This window comes from Homo sapiens, chromosome 7, assembly GCF_000001405.40.
Source record: "Homo sapiens chromosome 7, GRCh38.p14 Primary Assembly".
NCBI classification, from domain to species: Eukaryota; Metazoa; Chordata; class Mammalia; order Primates; family Hominidae; genus Homo; species Homo sapiens.
The window spans coordinates 117542249-117565687 of NC_000007.14; the positions used below are offsets into that span (position 1 = coordinate 117542249).

Genomic DNA, 23439 nt, shown 5'->3' on the forward strand with positions numbered 1-23439 from the left:
CTAGATTAAGAAGTAGAGGAATGGCCAGGTGCTCATGGTTGTAATCCCAGCACTTTGGGAGACCAAGGCGGGTGGATCACCTGAGGTCAGGAGTTCAAGACCAGCCTGGCCAACATGGTAAAACCCGGTCTCTACTAAAAATACAAAAAATTAACTGGGCATGGTGGCAGATGCTGTAGTCCCAGCTGCTCGGGAGGCTGAGGCAGGAGAATCACTTGAACCTGGGAGGCGGAGGTTGCAGTGAGCTAAGATCACGCCACTGCACTCCAGCCTGGGCAACAAGGCGAGACTCTGTCTGAAAAAGAAAAAAAAATAAAAATAAAAATAAAAAGAAGTGGAGGAATATTAAATGCAATATAAAAGCTTTTTTTATTTTTAAGTCATACAATTTGTTTCACATAACAGATCAGGAAATAATACAGAGATCATAAGTTTTGGAGCTGGGTTTGAATCCTGGCTCTGCCATTTACTTTCTGTGTAATCTAAGTCAAGTTACTGAACTTTGTGGGCCCTCTGGCTCTCCATGTGTAAAATGGAGAATATTAATATTTACCTTGCAAGTTTGTTGTGAAGACTGAAGGAGAGAATTTAGGTAAAACATTCATCAGAGTACCATGCACACAGTTGTTCCTCAATAAACATTAGCTTCTCTGATTGCAAGTTCCAGTCTAAAGTGCTTTATATATACCAGCCAATAAAAGGATGCGAGAGAGATATACCAGTGTATTGTTTTCTACCATTTTAAACCTATTTTCATCCACTGTTACAAATTCTATCATACTGCTCCACATAAAAAATATTATCAATGATTTTTAGTCTCTGAAGTGCAATATTTGATTATTGAGCACACCTGTTGAAGTTTTAGTTTCTTCTCACTTACATGGGTTGTGTAAAGGTAGGAGGTATAAAACCAGTGTCCTAGGTCTAAATCTTTCTTAATGTCATACTTTGGATTCATTGATATAAGTAACTTGAGCACCAGCGCTTCATTTTACTTCATTTTTTAAAGATATAGTAAGAGTAATTCCCATCTGCCTAGCAAAATTGTTTTGTAGAAAAGTTTGTGGATCAGATTTATTTTACTTTGATTTTAGGAATTTCAAGTGTCTTCGTCGGCATGAAGGAAAAATATGCAGTTTGACATTTTCTACTACTTTCAGGTCATTATTTTCCTACTCTGGTGCAAAAACCCTCAATTCCTGTCTCACTCCATCTAATCAAATAGGTAGCATGCTTGAGCCCTTACTATGTGCCAGGCACTAGGATAAGCACTTTATATGTTTTGTCCCAATTAATTCTCACAGCATTTCTATGACCTAAATAAAATTAATATTTTCATTTCACCAATAATAAAATGGAGGCTTCAAAAAGTTTAGGGACTTGGCTCAGCTCACACAACTGGCAAGGACTGAAAATGGATTTTAGTCCCAAATGTCATAGGCTAGAGCCCTTTCACTAAACTGTTGTCTTCCATCTGGTGGCATCCTCTTCCTCCAGTCTTTGTCACCTAAACTCTGGGCACCCCTTGATGGCATTTACTTATGATGGTGATGCTTGTTAAACTTCCTGTTTGCGACTTCAACGTCCATATAAATGAGTCTTCCAATACTGTACTTAGAACTTATATTTTGTAGTGACTTCTTTAAAAGCTTTCTCTCTTAGTCATATCCTGAGTTTTGTTAGCACCTGGACTTACCTTACTTTGGAAATGTTGCACTCTGAAATCTCTTTCTCAGCTTGGAATTTCCTAATCTTCCAACTGTTTGAGTCTTTTAATTCTACATTTACTGCCTTTCCATTTCATCAGGATTTCTAGTCTCTTTAATTCTTCCTTTTGAACTCCTCCTGATTTAACCTCTGCTTATTCGAAGAACAATAATTTTATTCTCTCAGCTGCACTCTCAATTCCCTTTTCCTTTTGGTGATTTTTCTTTTTCCTACAGAACACTTACTTTATCAGTTTTGGAGAAGGAAGTGCTATCTGGGTAACAGTAGTGCTATCTGTTGACTCTAGTCAACTGTAAGTTTTATACATTTATTGTTTAAACCTTATATGGGTCTATAATCCTTCTTGGGAAATCCTTTCATTTGTCTTTAATTTCCTTTACCATTTCCCTAAAGGCTATTCCAGATTTTTATCACATTCACAAAATTCCCGTCTTTTCTCAGGATCTGTTCACCCCCAGTAGATAGCCTTGTCTCCCACAATACATGGAGAAAATAGAGGCCACCGTCATATTTGAATGTTTCCAACTTCTCTCTTCACCTTTGGAATTATCTTTTTCTTCTTTTGTGTCTAAGAGAAAGATGTATACTTCTTCTTACCCTTGTCTGAACTACTCTATTTTGCTTCATCTTCTCAGAACAGGGGACCAGCAATTATTCTTCCTCCAGAAGCTTCAACATCTTTTGTCAACTGACTCCTTCTCATGTTTAAATATTTTCAAGTTAAACAATTTCTTTCCTGACTTTCGCTCACGCAACCTCATGCCCAAAACCTTATCACTCTTCTTCCCTTTGCTGTCAAGGCTGTTCTCACTTCTTCACTTTTTGTGGACTTCTCCCCACTACAACATAGATTCTGCTATCACCAATCTATTAAAACTGTTATACTCTTGTGGAATTTATCATTTAATTTAGCTTCAGTGAACCGTTCTTTCCAGATTATTTTGGCCTCAGACCATGACTTCTAAGTCTGCCGTGCTTGCCACTTAAGTGATGATGGGCCAGTGGGTCCCCACCTAGGCCTCTGTGTTAGTCTGTTTTCATGTTGCTGATAAAGACATACCCAAGAATGGGCAATTTACAGAAGAAAGGGGTTTGAGGGACTCACAGTTCCATGTGACTGGGGAGGCCTCACAATCATGGTGGATGATGAAAGGCATGTCTCACATGGAGGCAGATAAGAGCATAGAACTTGTGCAGGGAAACTTCCCTTTATTAAACCACCAGGTCTTGTGAGACTTCTTCACTATCACGAGAATAGGATGGGCAAGACCCTCCCCCATGATTCAATTATCTCCCACTGGGTCCCTCCCACAACACATGGGAATTATGGGAGCTATAATTCAAGATGAGATTTGGGTGAGGACATAGCCAAACCATATCAGCCTCCTTCTGGCTTTTTATGTTCTCCGTGGGTGACCTCTCTCAGGCTCAAGTGATAACCAATGTGCTGATGACTCTCAAATGCGCATCTCTGGCTTCAGTTTCTTCCTTGAACTTCATACATATGTTTCCAAATTTCCTGCGTGTACCTCAAGGTTCTTGTTCATCACTTCCCAAGCTTCATAAACGCACTCATTTTAGTGTATTCTCTGTCTCCTTTGATAGCATCCCTGAGAGGCAAGTCCCTGGTGAGTTATATACAACTCCTCCCTTGCTCCAAACCTGAGAGTAAGTAACATTCCTATTAACATATTAGGAAGCTGAGGCTTAGACAGTTTAAGTAACTCAAGCATGGTTACACAACTAGCTAGGGCAGAGCTAAAATGTCAGGCTAGGCTTCTGTGACTCCAAAGCCCTTTCTCACTTAGCATATCATCACTTATTTTTTTTTTTAATCACATATATGATTTTTTTTTCTTTAAGAGATAGAATCTTGCTCTATCACGTGGGCTGGAGTGCAGTGGCACAATCATAGCTCACTGTAACCTTGAACTTGGGCTCAAGTGATCCTCCTGCCTTAGCCTACTGAGTAGCTAGGGCTACAGACACACACCACCATGCCTAGCTAATTTTATTTTATTTTATTTTATTTTTTGAGACAGAGTCTCACTCTGTCACCCAGGCTGGAGTGCAGTGGTGCGATCTTGGCTCACTGGAACCTCTGCTGCCCGGGTTCAAGCGATTCTCCTGCCTCAGCCTCCTGAGTAGCTGGGATTACAGGTGCCTGCCACTGTGCCCAGCTAATTTTTGTATTTTTAGTAGAGACGGGGTTTCACCATCTTGGCCAGGCTTGTCTTGAACTCCTGACCTCGTGATCCACTCGCCTCGGCCTCCCAAAGTGCTGGGATTACAGGTGTGAGCCACCACGCCTGGCCACCTACCTAATTTTTAATTTTTTTGTAGAGACAGGGTCTCACTACGTTGCCCAGGCTGGTCTTGAACTCCTGTTCTCAAACAATCCTCCTGCCTCGGACACCCCAAGTGCAGGGATTACAGGCATGAGTCATTGCAGCTGACCTGTATATATGATTTTTAGTATATGTAAATATACATATTTATTAAATGTAAATATAAATATAAATGTGTGGAGTGATATCCATTGAAATGTTAAACATAGTTCTCAGTGGTACAACTACAGGTGATTTCTCTTTTCTTATTTCTGGTTTTCTGTGTTTTCCAAATTTCTTGAAATGTGTCTTCTGTAATCAGAAATAAAAGTTATTAGTAACAACAGTCTTCCACTGGTACAAGTGCTTATTGGATAAAAGTCCCACTTCTAAGCATGATACTCACAACTTTTAGGTTAATAGCCTTTGTCACCTTGCCATATACATCTGATCCAGCCACTCACACCATTCCTGAGATATATTTTGTTCCTTTGTGCCTAAATCATTGTGCATGCAGATCCATCTTCCTGGAACACCTATAACCATTTCTTAGTCCTGTGAAATCCTACTTACATCCTTCATAGCCTAGCATGTATGTCATTTATTTGGTCAAGGGTGAGTTGGTTGTTCTCTTGAATGTACTGCCATATGACGTGGTGTGATTTCAATTGTAGCACCAAGCTCATTGCAATATTAATTCGTTTGTCATTCTCCCATGTAGGATGTTTGAAGTAGTTTCTAACACAGAGATTATACTCAATAAATATTTATTAGATAAATAAATGAATAAGGGAATAACAAATGCCTTTGTCTCATTTTAAAATACTTTCATTGTTAGCTACCCATATAATAAAAAACTAAAAGCAGTAGTTTTCAAGCATGATTGTTTATGTATGCCTTAAAAGAATTTTGAAAACCTATGTACCCCTGACACACTTTTAAGTTAACTTATAAATTTTTCAACATAGTTTTAAGTGGTGGCAAATGATGTAGTTTCTTGTGTATTTTAAACTGCTTAAGTATGCTATACATGGATTTCTTCAAAACCCTGAAGCTGCAGTTTCAGTGCATTCAATTTATGGAAAAGAAATTAATTTATAAAATTGGTTCTTATTGTCAAGTCAATCAGCTAAATATAACTTGCTTTCTGTCAGGAAAAGTCTGACTTTAAAATACAGATAAGTAATAACTATTATTAATTAATTAAATTATTAAAATTAAAATAATTAAATAATTTGTTAATTAAAATGCCTTATTCCCCTACTTATTTCTGCAATTTGACTCTAAGAATAGATAGGACATGTAGATTGCCTTAGGTTTGAAATCTGGGTGAAATAAGATACTGCCTCCTTCAGTATTTCTGCCTTTGCTTTTATGGGAGCCTCTTTCAAGAAAAAGTCATTCTCTCATGGTCCCTTTGTTTGAGTCCCAGAGGTTTTCCTACTCCAGAAAGTGCAACGTAGTGAGACTAGTACTATACTCCCTTGCATGGTAAGTGAGAAGGCTGTCTGTATAAAATGAGGGAAGGACTCATGAGAGGGAAGTAGGTCAGGAGAAATGATAGGTTCTCAGGCAGGTTAATTTTAGGAAAGAGTGAATAGAGTCCCTTAAAACAAGGTGCATCTGCTTCCTCCTGATCAATCTTTAGGACTGTTTACTTTGATTTGAAGACCACTATGCTAAAGCTTCCCACGGGGGCAATAGTGAGGCAAGGAATTTTTAAAAGGGAATTACTTCTTCGTAGCTACTTTTGTGAAATGAATTCATTTGAATTATCTGGCAATCTCTTCATATTTATATTCAACAATAATTACTTAAAGAAATGCTTTGAGCTTCTCAGAGGAGGGTGCTACCAGTGTGATGGAGTAGAATTCAGATTTGGGTAGTGACTTTAAAGCTGTGTGACTTTAGTCATTTAACTGCTGAGTCACAGTCTACAGCTTTGAAAGAGGAGGATTATAAAATCTATCTCATGTTAATGCTGAAGATTAAATAATAGTGTTTATGTACCCCGCTTATAGGAGAAGAGGGTGTGTGTGTGTGTGTGTGTGTGTGTGTGTGTATGTGTATGTATACATGTATGTATTCAGTCTTTACTGAAATTAAAAAATCTTTAACTTGATAATGGGCAAATATCTTAGTTTTAGATCATGTCCTCTAGAAACCGTATGCTATATAATTATGTACTATAAAGTAATAATGTATACAGTGTAATGGATCATGGGCCATGTGCTTTTCAAACTAATTGTACATAAAACAAGCATCTATTGAAAATATCTGACAAACTCATCTTTTATTTTTGATGTGTGTGTGTGTGTGTGTGTGTTTTTTTAACAGGGATTTGGGGAATTATTTGAGAAAGCAAAACAAAACAATAACAATAGAAAAACTTCTAATGGTGATGACAGCCTCTTCTTCAGTAATTTCTCACTTCTTGGTACTCCTGTCCTGAAAGATATTAATTTCAAGATAGAAAGAGGACAGTTGTTGGCGGTTGCTGGATCCACTGGAGCAGGCAAGGTAGTTCTTTTGTTCTTCACTATTAAGAACTTAATTTGGTGTCCATGTCTCTTTTTTTTTCTAGTTTGTAGTGCTGGAAGGTATTTTTGGAGAAATTCTTACATGAGCATTAGGAGAATGTATGGGTGTAGTGTCTTGTATAATAGAAATTGTTCCACTGATAATTTACTCTAGTTTTTTATTTCCTCATATTATTTTCAGTGGCTTTTTCTTCCACATCTTTATATTTTGCACCACATTCAACACTGTATCTTGCACATGGCGAGCATTCAATAACTTTATTGAATAAACAAATCATCCATTTTATCCATTCTTAACCAGAACAGACATTTTTTCAGAGCTGGTCCAGGAAAATCATGACTTACATTTTGCCTTAGTAACCACATAAACAAAAGGTCTCCATTTTTGTTAACATTACAATTTTCAGAATAGATTTAGATTTGCTTATGATATATTATAAGGAAAAATTATTTAGTGGGATAGTTTTTTGAGGAAATACATAGGAATGTTAATTTATTCAGTGGTCATCCTCTTCTCCATATCCCACCCTAAGAACAACTTAACCTGGCATATTTGGAGATACATCTGAAAAAATAGTAGATTAGAAAGAAAAAACAGCAAAAGGACCAAAACTTTATTGTCAGGAGAAGACTTTGTAGTGATCTTCAAGAATATAACCCATTGTGTAGATAATGGTAAAAACTTGCTCTCTTTTAACTATTGAGGAAATAAATTTAAAGACATGAAAGAATCAAATTAGAGATGAGAAAGAGCTTTCTAGTATTAGAATGGGCTAAAGGGCAATAGGTATTTGCTTCAGAAGTCTATAAAATGGTTCCTTGTTCCCATTTGATTGTCATTTTAGCTGTGGTACTTTGTAGAAATGTGAGAAAAAGTTTAGTGGTCTCTTGAAGCTTTTCAAAATACTTTCTAGAATTATACCGAATAATCTAAGACAAACAGAAAAAGAAAGAGAGGAAGGAAGAAAGAAGGAAATGAGGAAGAAAGGAAGTAGGAGGAAGGAAGGAAGGAAAGAAGGAAGGAAGTAAGAGGGAAGCAGTGCTGCTGCTGTAGGTAAAAATGTTAATGAAAATAGAAATTAAGAAAGACTCCTGAAAGGCAATTATTTATCAATATCTAAGATGAGGAGAACCATATTTTGAAGAATTGAATATGAGACTTGGGAAACAAAATGCCACAAAAAATTTCCACTCAATAAATTTGGTGTCAGGCTGGGTGCAGTGGCTCACACTTGTAATCCTAGCACTTTTGGAGGCAGAGGCAGGTGAATTGCTTGAGTCCAGGAGTTTGAGACCAGCGTGGGCAACATGGCAAACCCCACCTCTACAAAAAACACAAACAAAAGAAAATAGCTGGGTGTGGTGGTGTGTGCCTGTAGTCCCAGCTACTTGGGAGGCTGAGGTGGGAGGATCACCTGAGCCTGAGAAGTGGAGGCTGCAGTGAGCCATGATTGCACCACTGTACCCTAGCCTAGGTGATAGGCTCAAAAAAAAAAAAAATTGGTGTTTGCAATGCTAATAATACAATTTGGTTGTTTCTCTCTCCAGTTGTTTTCCTACATACGAAACAGCTTTTAAAACAAAATAGCTGGAATTGTGCATTTTTTCTTACAAAAACATTTTCTTTCTTAAAATGTTATTATTTTTCTTTTATATCTTGTATATTATTACTAGCAGTGTTCACTATTAAAAAATTATACTATAGGAGGGGCTGATACTAAATAAGTTAGCAATGGTCTAAACAAGGATGTTTATTTATGAAAAGGTAGTAATTGTGTTTCATAGAATTTTTAAAATTAATTCTGCGTATGTCTTCAAGATCAATTCTATGATAGATGTGCAAAAATAGCTTTGGAATTACAAATTCCAAGACTTACTGGCAATTAAATTTCAGGCAGTTTTATTAAAATTGATGAGCAGATAATTACTGGCTGACAGTGCAGTTATAGCTTATGAAAAGCAGCTATGAAGGCAGAGTTAGAGGAAGGCAGTGGTCCCTTGGGAATATTTAAACACTTCTGAGAAACGGAGTTTACTAACTCAATCTAGGAGGCTGCCTTTTAGTAGTATTAGGAATGGAACACTTTATAGTTTTTTTTGGACAAAAGATCTAGCTAAAATATAAGATTGAATAATTGAAAATATTAACATTTTAAGTTAAATCTTACCCACTCAATACAATTTGGTAATTTGTATCAGAAGCTTAAAAGATAACCTAATAGTTCTTCTACTTCTATAACTTACCCAAATATGTTTGCAGAGATCTTATGTAAAGCTCTTCATTATAACACTGCTTTCAGGAGCCAAAAATTGGGTGGGGGAGCCCCATAAATGTTGAATAATAGGGGTTTGATTAGATAAATTTTGGTGTAGTTCTATAATGGCGTGTTATTCAGCCAATAAAAGGTTTGTTAAAGAATGACTGTGACGGATGTATATGATATACTCTTAAGTGAATAAAGAGTTACAAAATGTTATGTACAAGTTACAAAATGTATGTACATTATGATCCATTTTTCATAAAATCATATGTATGTATATATGTGTGTCTGGAAGGATAAATTTATCAAGTTGTTATCTCTGAAATTTTGGGTATATTTTATATTTCTAGATTTTCTGTTACTTTGTTACTTTACTGATAAAGTAATAACGTTGTTGACTTTTGTCACTCTCCCCTATTAATAATCATCTAGGCTGCAAAAGGATCATGTCTTCTTTATTTTTATATTCCAAGGACTGTCAACAAGTGCCTAGCACTTGACAGGTATATTATAGAAATTTAACTGAATATCTTTAGGAAATAGATTTTTGTTTGTAGTTGTTCTAGTCTACATTAAATGTCTTGCGCTTATGAAACTTCCTTGAATTATTTTAGTGAAGCAATATTAGTATAGAATTTTGCATCACTGGATGCCCTTGACTGAAAGCTGGCTTATGGCATCTCACCAGTGTGTGGGGAGTTTCAGTCCTTCTGTTGTCTGCATCACAGCTGAAGCAGTGCTGTTGCTGACAATTCCTGACACCACCTTGTCTCTATTATTGATCATTGCCTCACTATGGTACTGAGTTTTAGCTTATTCTTGTAATAACTGGGACTCATATGTATAGAATAAGCTATTAGCTCACGTTTTTGCTTGCTTTTTATACAGAATACATGTCTGCAAATAGTTTTATCAATATTTTGGAATTTTGGGAGATATGAAGTTAAAAACATCATTGAATATATATATATACACACACACATATATATATGACACTATACATGATTTATTTTATTTAATTTTTAAAATTTTATTCTTTTTAGAGATTAGGTCTTACTCTGTCACCCAGGCTGAACTTCAGTGGTGTGATCATAGCTCACTGTAACCTTGAACTCCTGGGCTCAATTGACCTTTCCGCTTCAGCCTCCCAAAGTGCTGGGTTTATAGGCATGAGCCACTGTGTCTGGTCCAATATGCATATATATATTTTTAACCTGGATTATCAGAGCTATATTGTGTTTAGGTTTATAAAGCTGTACTATGTGAAAATATCACTTCTAGGTTTAATTTTGTACAAAGGAATTTTATATAGAAATGAGGTAATTCAGATTTTTTCCCATGTAATAAGAATTGTAAAATTTACTGAAACAAACATCAAAAAGATATCTGTTACATGACCTTCCTTTCTTTTGAATATATTTCAGGTGATATTATTTATTAAAATTTAAAAATGAAAATTAAAATATATAAAAAGTTGAAAATTATTCCTTTCTTTACTGTCTCTCATCTGTCCATTTTCCATTCTCCTGCATTCCCTCATCCAACCAAGGTAGCCAATCCAGGTAACTTTTTTTAGTATCTTCCCAGAGATGTTTCTCTCTATATATATAATCAATATACATTTTTTATTATTCCCCACCTCTCTTTTTATGTAACAATATGCAGAGTTTTGCTTCTTGCTTTTCCCACTATCTTGGACAACTTTCCATATTCAAAGCACAGAGGACTTGCACATATGTTCAGACTGCTGAATATTTCTGTCTCTCCCCTGCCATTCATATGTTGAAATCCTAATTCCCAAGGTGATGGTATTGCAGGGTGGGGCCTTTGGGAGGTGATTAGTCCATGAGGGTGAAGTCTTTAGTAAATGAGATTAGTGTCTTTATAAAAGAAACCTTAGAGAGACCCTCACACCTTAGAGAGACCCTCACCCCTTTCTGCCATGTGAGAACACAGCAGGAAGACAGCTGGCTATCCAGGATTCAGGAGTCTCTTAGCAGACCCAAATCTGCTGGCACCTTGATCTTGGACTTCCCAGCCTCCAGAACTGTGAGAAATAAATTCCTGTTGTTTATAAGCCACACAGTTCATGGTATTTTGTTATAGCAGCCTGAACAAGGACACACACACACACACACACACATGCACACACATTTAAATAGATGCATAGTATTCTATCATATGGATGGATATTCTATGATATAATGAATCACTATTGATTGACATTTGGGTTGTTTCCAATATTTTGTTAACACAAAGAACAACACTACAAATAACTTTATATACATATCATTTAGCACATCTGCAATTGTATCAGTAGGCTTCCTATAAGTGGTCAAGCATTTGTGTACTTGTGATTTTGGTAGATGTTGTCAAATGTCCTTCCCTGAAATTTGTACCAATTCGTACTCATGCCATACACTCTAAATAGAGTGCTGATTTCCCCACAGCATTACTAACAGATGATATTATCTAATTTAAAAAGTTTCTCATCTTATAGGGAAAATAGTATGTCAATGTATTCTTAACTTGCATTTCTTTTATTATAAGTAGTGTAAAATATCATTTCAACTTATACACAGGAGGAATTTCTCTCTATATAAAGTGATCCTAGAATCATAATGAAAAATATCACCAACTCATTAGGAAAATGTACAAAGGATTGAATAGATATCTCATCAAAAATAAAAATATAAGTGGCCTTTAAACATTGAAAGGTAACATTTGAACAAAGACTTGCAGGAGGTGAGGGATTAGGGAATGCAGACTCTGGGAAGAGTCTTCCAAGTAGCAGGTGAAGCAAGTGCAAAGCTTTCAGATGGGACTGACTATACCTGTCTGGTTTGAAGAACAGTAAGGAGGTCACTGAGGCTGGCATAGAGTAAGACAGGGAGGGTAGAATACTGTCAGAGAAGTAATCGGCGGTGGAGGTAGGGGGTAAACCATAAAGTGCTCGTAAAGACTAAGGCTTATTTCTCTGGGTGAGATTAGAGGCCACTGGAGAGTTTTAAACAGAAGTAACAGGGCCACTTTGGCTAATGTTTTTAGGCTATTCTGTAGGGAGACAAGGGAGGAAGCAAGGAGATGAGTTAGGAGTCTATTGTGCCAGTTCAGGCAAGTGATGATGGTGGCTTGATCCAGGTAGTAGTGGAAGTAGTATAGTAGGAAGTGATCAGATTCAGGACATGCTTTGAAGGAAGATCCAATAGGATTAATGGATAAGTTGAACAATGGCATATGAGAAAAGTCACAGAGGAGTCAAAGATGATTCCAAGCTTTCTGGACTGAGTAACTGGAAGGATAAATGTGCCGTTTACTAGAAAGATAATGGGAGAAACAGGTTTTGGATGGAGCTTGGTTTGGGAATATTAAGTTTGAAATGCCTATTTGACATCCAAATAGAGATGTTAGTTGGATGTACAAGTCTAGTTTCAAGGAAGAGGGGGCTGGTAGTGTGAAGATGGGGCTGGATAAGATTCTAAAGGAAAGAGGGTTGATAAGAAGAGAAAGGGGTGTAGGGGTTAGCCTAAGGGCATTCTAAGTATTAGAGGTTAAGGAGGTGGGTGAAGAAAACCCAATAAAATAAAAGTCTGAGAAGACAAAGCTAGTGAATGAATGTGGTATCCCGGAACCCAACTGATGTCAAGCAGAAGGGTGTTATCAACTAGGTCAAATGCTCATTCATCAAGTAAGATGAAACTGTTATAATTAACCGGTGTCTTCTGAAATACGGAGATAACTCGTGACTTAATGAAAGCAATAGTAGAGAAGGTCAAACTTGACCAGAATGAAATTAGAAAGAATAAGAGGAAAGAAAAGACCAAATACAGACAACCATTGATGCCTTATTCTTTTGATATACTCCTGGAGTCCACTTGCTAATACAATTGACCCTTAAACAATACAGGCTTGAACTGCATGGGTCCACTTATTTGTGAATTTTTTTTCAGTTAATACATTGGAAAATTTTTGGGGTTTTTTGACAATTTGAAAAAACTCACAAACTGTCTAGCCTAGAAATACCGAGAAAATTAAGAAAAAGTAAGATATGCCATGAATGCATAAAATATATGTAGACACTAGCCTATTTTATCATTTGCTACTATAAAATATACACAATCTATTATAAAAAGTTAAAATTTATCAAAACTTAACACACACTAACACCTACCCTACCTGGCACCATTCACAGTAAAGAGAAATGTAAATAAACATAAAAATGTAGTATTAAACCATAATGGCATAAAACTAATTGTAGTACATATGGTACTACTGTAATAATTTGGAAGCCACTTCCTGTTGCTATTACGGTAAGCTCAAGCATTGTGGATAGCCATTTAAAACACCACGTGATGCTAATCATCTCCGTGTGAGCAGTTCTCTCTCCAGTAAATTGCATATTGCAGTAAAAAGTGATCTCTAGTGGTTCTCGCATATTTTTCATCATGTTTAGTGCAATGCCATAAACCTTGAATAACATCAAGCAATCCATACAAAGTGCCACTAGTGATGCACGGAAAAGTTGTAACAGTACAAGAAAAAAGTTGAGTTGCTTGGTATTTACCATATATTGAGGTCTGCAGCTACAGTTGCCTGCAATTTCGAGATAAATGAACCCAGTATAAAGACTGTTGTAACAAAAGAAAAGAAAATGTGAAACCATCAGTGCAGCTATGCCAGCAGGTGTGAAGTCTTGCACTTTTTGCAAAATACAAAATATGAAATATGTGTTAATTGACTGTTTATGTTATCTGTAAGGTTTCCACTCAACAATAGGCTATTAGTAGTTAAGTTTTTGTGGAGTCAAAAATTATACGTGGATTTTTGACTATACAGTGGGTTGGCACCCCTAACCTTCATGTTGATAAAGGGTCAATGGTATATTATTTAATTTTTTTGTATTTATATTCATAAATAAGATTAAATCTATATTTCCAAGTAATCTCTATAAGATTTTGTTATTAATATTACTATTATTTTTGAGACAGAGTCTTACTGTCACCAGGCTGGAGCACAGTGGTGCGATCTCGGCTCACTGCAACCTCTGCCTCCCGGGCTCAAGCAATTCTCCTGCCTCACCCTCCCAAGTAGCTGGGACTACAGGCACGCACAACCACACTCAGCTAATTTTTGTATTTTTAGTAGAGACGGGGTTTCACCATGTTGGCCAGGATGGTATTGATCTCTTGACCTCATGATCTGCCTGCCTCGGCCTCCCAAAGTGTTGGGATTACAGGCATGAGCCACTGTGCACAGCCATTAATATTATTGTTACCCAATAAAAAAAATTTGGAAACTTGTCTTCTTTTCCCCTGATTCTGTTTAAATAGCACTGGAGTTACCTGTTTTGAATTTTTTTTCCAAGCGGTCCCTTATGAGTTTTCTCTATGTTTTATTTGTTTCATTTCTTTTTTTTTTTTTTTTTTTTTTTTTGAGACGGAGTCTCGCTCTGTCGCCCAGGCTGGAGTGCAGTGGCGGGATCTCGGCTCACTGCAAGCTCCGCCTCCCGGGTTCACGCCATTCTCCTGCCTCAGCCTCCCAAGTAGCTGGGACTACAGGCGCCCGCCACTACGCCCGGCTAATTTTTTGTATTTTTAGTAGAGACGGGGTTTCACCGTTTTAGCCGGGATGGTCTCGATCTCCTGACCTCGTGATCCGCCCGCCTCGGCCTCCCAAAGTGCTGGGATTACAGGCGTGAGCCACCGCGCCCGGCCTGTTTCATTTCTTATATCGTATTTTTGCAACTCCTTTATTGATACTTTTCTTCCTGATTAGGTTTCTACTAAAACCAAACAAGCTTTCCATGAATTAGCTTTTAGATTTACTTATTAGTTTAACTGTTCTGTTGTATTGTAACTCATTAATTTATAATTTTATCTTTATTAATTATTCTATTTTTCTTCGCTTTTTTGTTGTTTTTCTAGTTTTTGAGTTAGATGTTTGACGCTTTTTTAAAAAGCTGTGCATTTTCCTCTGGGTAATACTTTAGCTGTATATTATGTATTCTGATATATAGTGTTTCCATTACATTGTTTTCTAGAAAATCTGTAGCTTTGATTTATATTTGTTTCCTCTTTGACCTAAGATATCCTAAGGGAAAATTTAACATTTTCCAGAAAGAAAACAAATTTTCTTTGTTTTCCAAGAATGTTGTTCAAATTATTTCTACTGCTTGGAATTTTTATCATTTTTGTGTATCCAGTAAATAGTCAATATTTGTACTTGCTCTCTGACCACATAAAAGAATATATTCGTGTAGTTTCTATTAATAGATTAGAGTTCAATTCAGATATTAAATGTACATCATTATTCATGATATTTAGGTCTTCTACATCTTCACTTATCTTTTTTCTACTTGCTTTGCCATTAACAGATAAAGTTGAATTAAAGGCTTCTACTACATACATTTCTCCCTGTTATTCCTTATAGGTTCTGTAATTTTTGCTTCAAGAATATTGCTTTTTAAATTTAATATATAGATACTTATAATTACACTCTAGCATTATAAAGAGCCTTTTCTTTTTCATTGAATGTATTTGGGCCTGCATATGTCTAACATGAAAATTATAGTCCTTTTTTTGTTTCTTTGTTTGTATTTACAGTTTTAAGTTCCATTTTCAACCTTTATGCACTCTTTGCTTTAGGTGTGTCTCTTTTAGTTAGCATAAAGTTAGGTTTGTCTTTAATTTCACCTGAAGTCTTTTCCTCTTAATAGATGGGTTAAGCCAACTGAAAAATAAAACTGACTTATATACTTTTATTTCAAGTATGTCCTCCACAAATATTTTTTGAATAGATTAGCTTATATACTTTGGAATTTGTTAAAAAAAGATTTTTATAAAAAATAATTGTGGTGAAATGTACATAACATAAAATTTATCATTTTGACCATTTTTAAGGGCATAGCTCTGTGGCATAAAGTATACTCACATAGTTGTGCAACTATCACCTCCTTTTGATTTTTTTTTACTAATTTTGTAAATTTGTTTCATCTGAGCTGTCTTATTATGTTTTGTTTTATGTTTTTCTTTCCTTTATTATGAAGTCACTGTATTGTCTGTAGGCTATATGTATCTGTGAGTGTGTGTGTATATGTGTGTATTATGGTTTTTAAAAAAGTCTATATTTGTTTTCCAGTGGCTATACTTAATACTAATAACTTTATGTTAAATTTTTCATTCTATGTGACTCTAGTTCACTAATATGAGCTCTGATAAAATCAGTGCTTTTTCGAGGTTAGGAGATCAAGACCATCCTGGCTAACACAGTGAAACTCCGTCTCTACTAAAAATACAAAAAATTAGCCAGACGTGATGGCGGGTGCCCGTAGTCCCAGCTACTCGGGAGGCTGAGGCAGGAGAATGGCGTGAACCCAGGAGGCAGAACTTGCAGTGAGCCGAGATCGCGCCACTGCACTCTAGCCTGGGTGACAGAGTGAGACTCTGTCTCTAAATAAATAAATAAATAAATAAATAAATAAATAAAATCAGTGCTTTTTCTTCCTCTGCTACCTCCTTTCCTTCTACTCAGTTTTAGTCAGTAGTATTATCTTTTTTCAGATTTATCTTTGTATTGTTAAATCTGCTTATGCTTCTATTACTTTATTTATTAGCTTTAAATGATACCTTTTGACTTTCAGCTTTTCTTAATAAAGCAATCAGCAAATTTCCTTTACACTCCACACTTATACCCCATTTCCTTTGTTTGTTTATTTGGTTTTTACTTCTAACTTTTCTTATTGTCAGGACATATAACATATTTAAACTTTGTTTTTCAACTCGAATTCTGCCATTAGTTTTAATTTTTGTTCACAGTTATATAAATCTTTGTTCACTGATAGTCCTTTTGTACTATCATCTCTTAAATGACTTTATACTCCAAGAAAGGCTCATGGGAACAATATTACCTGAATATGTCTCTATTACTTAATCTGTACCTAATAATATGAAGGTAATCTACTTTGTAGGATTTCTGTGAAGATTAAATAAATTAATATAGTTAAAGCACATAGAACAGCACTCGACACAGAGTGAGCACTTGGCAACTGTTAGCTGTTACTAACCTTTCCCATTCTTCCTCCAAACCTATTCCAACTATCTGAATCATGTGCCCCTTCTCTGTGAACCTCTATCATAATACTTGTCACACTGTATTGTAATTGTCTCTTTTACTTTCCCTTGTATCTTTTGTGCATAGCAGAGTACCTGAAACAGGAAGTATTTTAAATATTTTGAATCAAATGAGTTAATAGAATCTTTACAAATAAGAATATACACTTCTGCTTAGGATGATAATTGGAGGCAAGTGAATCCTGAGCGTGATTTGATAATGACCTAATAATGATGGGTTTTATTTCCAGACTTCACTTCTAATGGTGATTATGGGAGAACTGGAGCCTTCAGAGGGTAAAATTAAGCACAGTGGAAGAATTTCATTCTGTTCTCAGTTTTCCTGGATTATGCCTGGCACCATTAAAGAAAATATCATCTTTGGTGTTTCCTATGATGAATATAGATACAGAAGCGTCATCAAAGCATGCCAACTAGAAGAGGTAAGAAACTATGTGAAAACTTTTTGATTATGCATATGAACCCTTCACACTACCCAAATTATATATTTGGCTCCATATTCAATCGGTTAGTCTACATATATTTATGTTTCCTCTATGGGTAAGCTACTGTGAATGGATCAATTAATAAAACACATGACCTATGCTTTAAGAAGCTTGCAAACACATGAAATAAATGCAATTTATTTTTTAAATAATGGGTTCATTTGATCACAATAAATGCATTTTATGAAATGGTGAGAATTTTGTTCACTCATTAGTGAGACAAACGTCCTCAATGGTTATTTATATGGCATGCATATAAGTGATATGTGGTATCTTTTTAAAAGATACCACAAAATATGCATCTTTAAAAATATACTCCAAAAATTATTAAGATTATTTTAATAATTTTAATAATACTATAGCCTAATGGAATGAGCATTGATCTGCCAGCAGAGAATTAGAGGGGTAAAATTGTGAAGATATTGTATCCCTGGCTTTGAACAAATACCATATAACTTCTAGTGACTGCAATTCTTTGATGCAGAGGCAAAATGAAGATGATGTCATTACTCATTTCACAACAATATTGGAGAATGAGCTAATTATCTGAAAATTACATGAAGTATTCCAAGAGAAACCAGTATATGGATCTTGTGCTGTTCACTATGTAAATTGTGTGATGGTGGGTTCAGTAGTTATTGCTGTAAATGTTAGGGCAGGGAATATGTTACTATGAAGTTTATTGACAGTATACTCCAAATAGTGTTTGTGATTCAAAAGCAATATCTTTGATAGTTGGCATTTGCAATTCCTTTATATAATCTTTTATGAAAAAAATTGCAGAGAAAGTAAAATGTAGCTTAAAATACAGTATCCAAAAAAATGGAAAAGGGCAAACCGTGGATTAGATAGAAATGGCAATTCTTATAAAAAGGGTTGCATGCTTACATGAATGGCTTTCCATGTATATACTCAGTCATTCAACAGTTTTTTTTTTAGAGCCCCATTCTTATTTTTTATACACTTTGAGAGCATAATGAAAAGAAAAGCTACCTGCAAAAGTTTTGGACTTACCTCAAAGAGGATATACTTCATTCCTCAAAAGGCCTTCTTCCAGGAATAGTATTTCATAACCTGGAGGTTGGAAAAATCTGGATTTGTTACAAAAAAATCTGAGTGTTTCTAGCGGACACAGATATTTGTCTAGGAGGGGACTAGGTTGTAGCAGTGGTAGTGCCTTACAAGATAAATCATGGGCTTTATTTACTTACGAGTGGAAAAGTTGCGGAAGGTGCCTTACAGACTTTTTTTTTGCGTTAAGTATGTGTTTTCCCATAGGAATTAATTTATAAATGGTGGTTTGATTTCCTCAAGTCAACCTTTAAAAGTATATTTAGCCAAAATATAGCTTAAATATATTACTAGTAATAAATTTAGTACTGTGGGTCTCTCATTCTCAAAATGAGCATTTACTAATTTCTGAACACTGTGCTAGGTCCTGGGAATACCAAATTGAATAAGACATAGTCTATTTTTCTGAAGGGTTTATAGCAGAGTCCCCTGTGTTAATAATGAAGGAGTGTGTGGTATGTGAATCATATATCAATAGGGTTGTTAAAAATAATGAAAAAAGGAGAAGAGGAAGAACATCTTTTTTTTTTCTGATTGCACGGGCAGCCTTAAAATTATTTTTGAAGTGTACAATTCAGTGTTTTTTTAGCATATTCACAGGGTTGTATTATCATCACCATATTTTTGGCCTCTTGAAAAGAAATCCTGTGCCTATTAGCATCCAATTACCGTTCCTTTGTAGCTAAGTCTCCCCCATTCCAGCTTTAAACAATCACCCATCTACTTTCTGTCTCTATAAATTTGTCTCTTTTGGACATTTCACATAAATGAAATAATATAATAGGGTTTTTTGTGCCTAAATAAGCTTCTAAAGAAGAATAAGGTAAGGAATCATCATTCAGCAAATATTTATTAAGACTTGCTTTATTTTATACAGTGTACTAGGAGCTGGAGATGAAAATATGTGTAGAACATGAATCATATACTTCGGGAATTTGTGGACTAGTGGGAAAGATTGACATATCAATAACAAATCGAATTAGTGATGTAATAGAGGCATTTTTACAGGAGTAAAATGAGGTAGCATGGACTCTATCTGGGTCTGAATAATGTGAGGAGTAACCTCCTTACACAAAGAGGCACAAGGCTAATGTCCTCTGATGGAATGATTCACCATGCAATTCTAAGGGTGACAAGAATGAAAGTTAGGGCCTTGAAGAAATATTTTGATTAAGAGCTGCCAATAAAGTAGAGTAAAGATTAGATTGATGTGAAGAAGTGGGAGATTAATGAGTAAATGGTCACTGGCTTGTTGAGAAGATTAAATGAGATGTACATGTAATGTACCTAACACAACGTCTTGTACAAAGTAGCCATTCAGTAGAGACTAGCTTGTATTATCTCCCTTTGAGGTAAAGAAAACTGTTAGAAATAGTATTTCTACTACTGATAGTATTTCTTCTACTTATGCCTCCCTTTGAGGTGAAGAATACTGTTAGAAAACATGACATAGGAGAAATACCCCTGAGAGACAGTTCTTATTAGTGACTACTGTGCAGAAAAGATGGAGGTTGGTGTAATTAAGGAGAAGGAAAGCCATGAAGCCAAAGTATTATGAAAAAGCATCAATATGAATTTTCATGTTGACAAAGTGGTATAAAAGATAATTATAAAGATGGTCACTTATAAATACGGTAGTTCTGTGTGACACAATTTACAGAAGTTGGTATATCGTGTGGAAGAAAACAGCATAAGATCCTGAAGGTTTGAACTGTGGGCACATTGGCTCCATGCTCAGGAAATGGCAATGGGGTTGGGAAGTGATTCCACTTTATGTCCCTTTCAGACACATAAAAATTACTTGTGTGAGTATCTTATGCCAGACACTATTCACTGTGTAGTGAGCATGGTGGGTATGAAATGACAACTTTATTGTCTTTCCTGTCAAAGAACTTGTAGGCTGGTTGGGGGAAAGAGACCATTTCAATATGAAGTGCTGAGCTAGAGGTACCCTTAGGGCACTACAGAAGCCTAGCTGATGGCTTTTAGCCTGGCTAGACAGTTCAGGATCTCTAAAAGCAGGTGCCTTGAAGGCTGAGTCAAATACAAAAATGTATTTTGGACAGAGGAAATTGTATGAACAGAAACACAGAACATGAAACTACTTGGTTGGTGCAGGGTATCATCAGCATAGAACCAGACAGAACCAGAGTGTAAATAAGCCAGAAGGCCATGTCATGGAGGCCTTGTATACCAGTCTCAGGAATTTGGTTGTGGAGAGCTTTCATCAGGGGAATGATGTAATCAGCTTGGAAATGTAGATATATCACTGACTGTGATAGTGAGGAGCAGAATTAAGGTGGACGTGATTAGAAGCTTTGTGAATAGCAGAAAGAACATAGATTTTGAAAGCTGGCAGACGTAGGTTACTGAAGAAAGTTACTTAACCTTGCTATGTCTTTAGTTTTATCCTCTGCAATATGGGGATAATACTGCCTATTTTGTAGAGTCTTGTGGATTCTTCTGGCATATATAATAGAAAATAAAACAGCTATTATTATTATTGTTGATGGTACTATTTGCTATATCTGACTACAAGGAGAAAGACTAATAGGAAACCATTTCAGGAATCCAGATATGGTCATGATGGACAGGAAGAGACAAGAGTTACATAGAGGAATTCTGGGAAGATAAGAAATGTCATTTTTATGTACTGTTTGCATCCATCAGACAAGGCATCAGGAAAAATGATCCTTCAGGAAAGAGTGATTTTTTTTCTTCAAGAAATTAGAAGAGGGGAGAAATTGGTTTAAGATTAAGGACTCCATGCATAAGAGAAACTGGGAGGGAAGACAGGTAGAAATGCTATGGGGTTAGGAAGGAAGAATGCAGAGGTGGATTACTTAGAATTGAGACATCTGATCAAGACAGAGGGATCACAGCTTTTGCTAACAAAGTACTAGTGGAGGATGCCACTAGGTGAGGTTTAATAAATAATTGTTGACAATAAGTTCCATTTAAAAAATAAACAATTTATGCTTCTTCTTTGCCTAAGTGTCAAATAAAACATTCAGATTTTTATTTCAAAGTATCCCTGAGTCCCTGTTCCCTTTTTTGTCCTGCTGACTTTTGGAACTGATTTAGGCTTCCTTAGTCATCTCATAATAGAAAAAATCAGCCAGGTATTTCCTACATTTCTTGTATTTTAAAAAAATGTAATGGATGTAATGAATTTTAAGCAAATGTAATGAATACAATAAGTAACTTAGTATATGCTGTTTTCTTCTCTATGCTGAATGTTTCATACATGTTATTTTCTATACAACTACATGGTCAATTCCTTGAAAATATCAACTCCAAAATCTTTATTTTGGTATACTCCACGTAGCACATTGAGAGAGTTTTAAACTCTTGTTGGATGACTGTTTCAAAAGTGTTTTGAAGTAGGCATGTCAGTTGCAAAAAGTTTGCTCAGCAAATGTTGTTCTGTCTCACAGTCTCAGACATTGAGCAGATGATTACATGACAGCACGTGATTGCTGGGAGTAACAGACAAAAGTAACTGAAAGTGCTCGGTTATCTTGACAGTCAAAATCAAAAGTGTCCCCTATTTTCAGTGACCTAAGAGTTTCTTTTTGTGTTTTTGGTATTGTTGTTAAATAAGTGTTCTCACCTTTGAAAAGGTCAATAAGAATTCAATACAGTATAATGTCTGTGTGCCAAATGAAGGTGCCCCTTATTTTTAAGTGTGGAGGAGTTTTGATCATAAGAACTTGAAATACCTACAGAATCCTTGATGGTTAAGCAGCTGGTGCCAGCACAAGAATCCCTCAATATGTTCTCTATGAAGCCCCGATCACCAAATGCAAACATTCATGATTCAGTATATTTTCATCTTGACTGCCAAAGTTGATCTGTTTCTTAATATATTACATCTAGACTTGGAACTGGAGATGAGAACAGAATATTATCTTCCTCATTTTTGTGTTTTTGTTCAACTCTAATGTCTGCAAAGCACTTGCGTATGTAATGATGCTCAGTGTCATAGGAGCAGGCAGGTAAGTGTAAATTTGTCTGGATAGGAGAAAGCATGCACAACATATTTCACATAGTTTTCTGATTTCAGTTTGTTTTTGCAAATTATTCACTCAGTGAGATAGCTTAAAGACGTTATCACAGGGAAAGGCATGGAGATAGTTCTGTGTTGATAGAAAACTTGTAATGTACAGCCATGAGTGAGAAGTCAGGTTCAGATTCTTCACCTTCAGTCCTCCTCTTTCATAAACAGCTCCATGTCCTATTTTACATATCCTACTTTAAAACGAGATTATAGAAGAATGAATTTCTAGGCAAAGTGACACTTATTTTAAAATACTATTACGTATCCCTGTGCCCATTAACTTATCCTACCATTTTTCTTCCCCTGTGTCCAAACCACCTTTAGAATCTCCTAAATATTTGTAGCTATTGTAAACAGCACTGGAGACTTTGCTAGTTTAAAAGGAGAAATCAACGCAATTAAGCCCTAGTTAATTTACTTATCCCTTATGAGATTATAATTGTATTTTGTTATTAAAAGGGGGACAGAGTACACTGTTCTCTTGCCTTTTTAATTTCCAGACTACCACTTCTCCTGCACTTGACAATACCGCAGTCTACCACGTAGTCCCATGGCTGACAGGAGGAGAATTCTAGGCAGGCCAGTGTTTGAGTAGTGAGTAATTGGACTGTCTTTACCCAGCAACTCACTGTTTTGTAAATGTACCTGAGTTTGGAGAAGTAATTGGCTTTTATAAGGGGTGCGGGGTGGAGGGTTGGGGTGGGGAGAGTGAGAAGGAGGTCAGAGCTTTAGGATATATAATTGGTCTCCACAAAGTTGTTGTGATACTTTTGGAACCACGTAATGGTCTTCATTAACTAAGTGTCTGTCATGACAGCCATTACATATGCATTATAAT

At 35.9% G+C, this 23439-nt stretch overlaps 1 protein-coding gene and 1 long non-coding RNA gene across 2 annotated transcripts in view; one reads left to right on the forward strand and one right to left on the reverse strand.

Moving 5' to 3' along the window:
• Nucleotides 1-23439, forward strand: part of CFTR (CF transmembrane conductance regulator) — a 188641-nt gene that overhangs the window by 62224 nt on the left and 102978 nt on the right. Inside the window, exons 10-11 of the mRNA NM_000492.4 lie at nt 6393-6575; nt 17216-17407. Of these exons, the coding sequence (NP_000483.3) occupies nt 6393-6575; nt 17216-17407 (375 nt within the window). The remainder of the gene's footprint in view (nt 1-6392; nt 6576-17215; nt 17408-23439) is intronic.
• On the reverse strand, nt 273-22428 carry CFTR-AS1 (CFTR antisense RNA 1). The gene is made up of 3 exons (NR_149084.1): nt 22268-22428; nt 18485-18544; nt 273-291 (listed from the first exon to the last, which is right to left on the reverse strand). It is a non-coding gene; the product is annotated as a CFTR antisense RNA 1 (long non-coding RNA).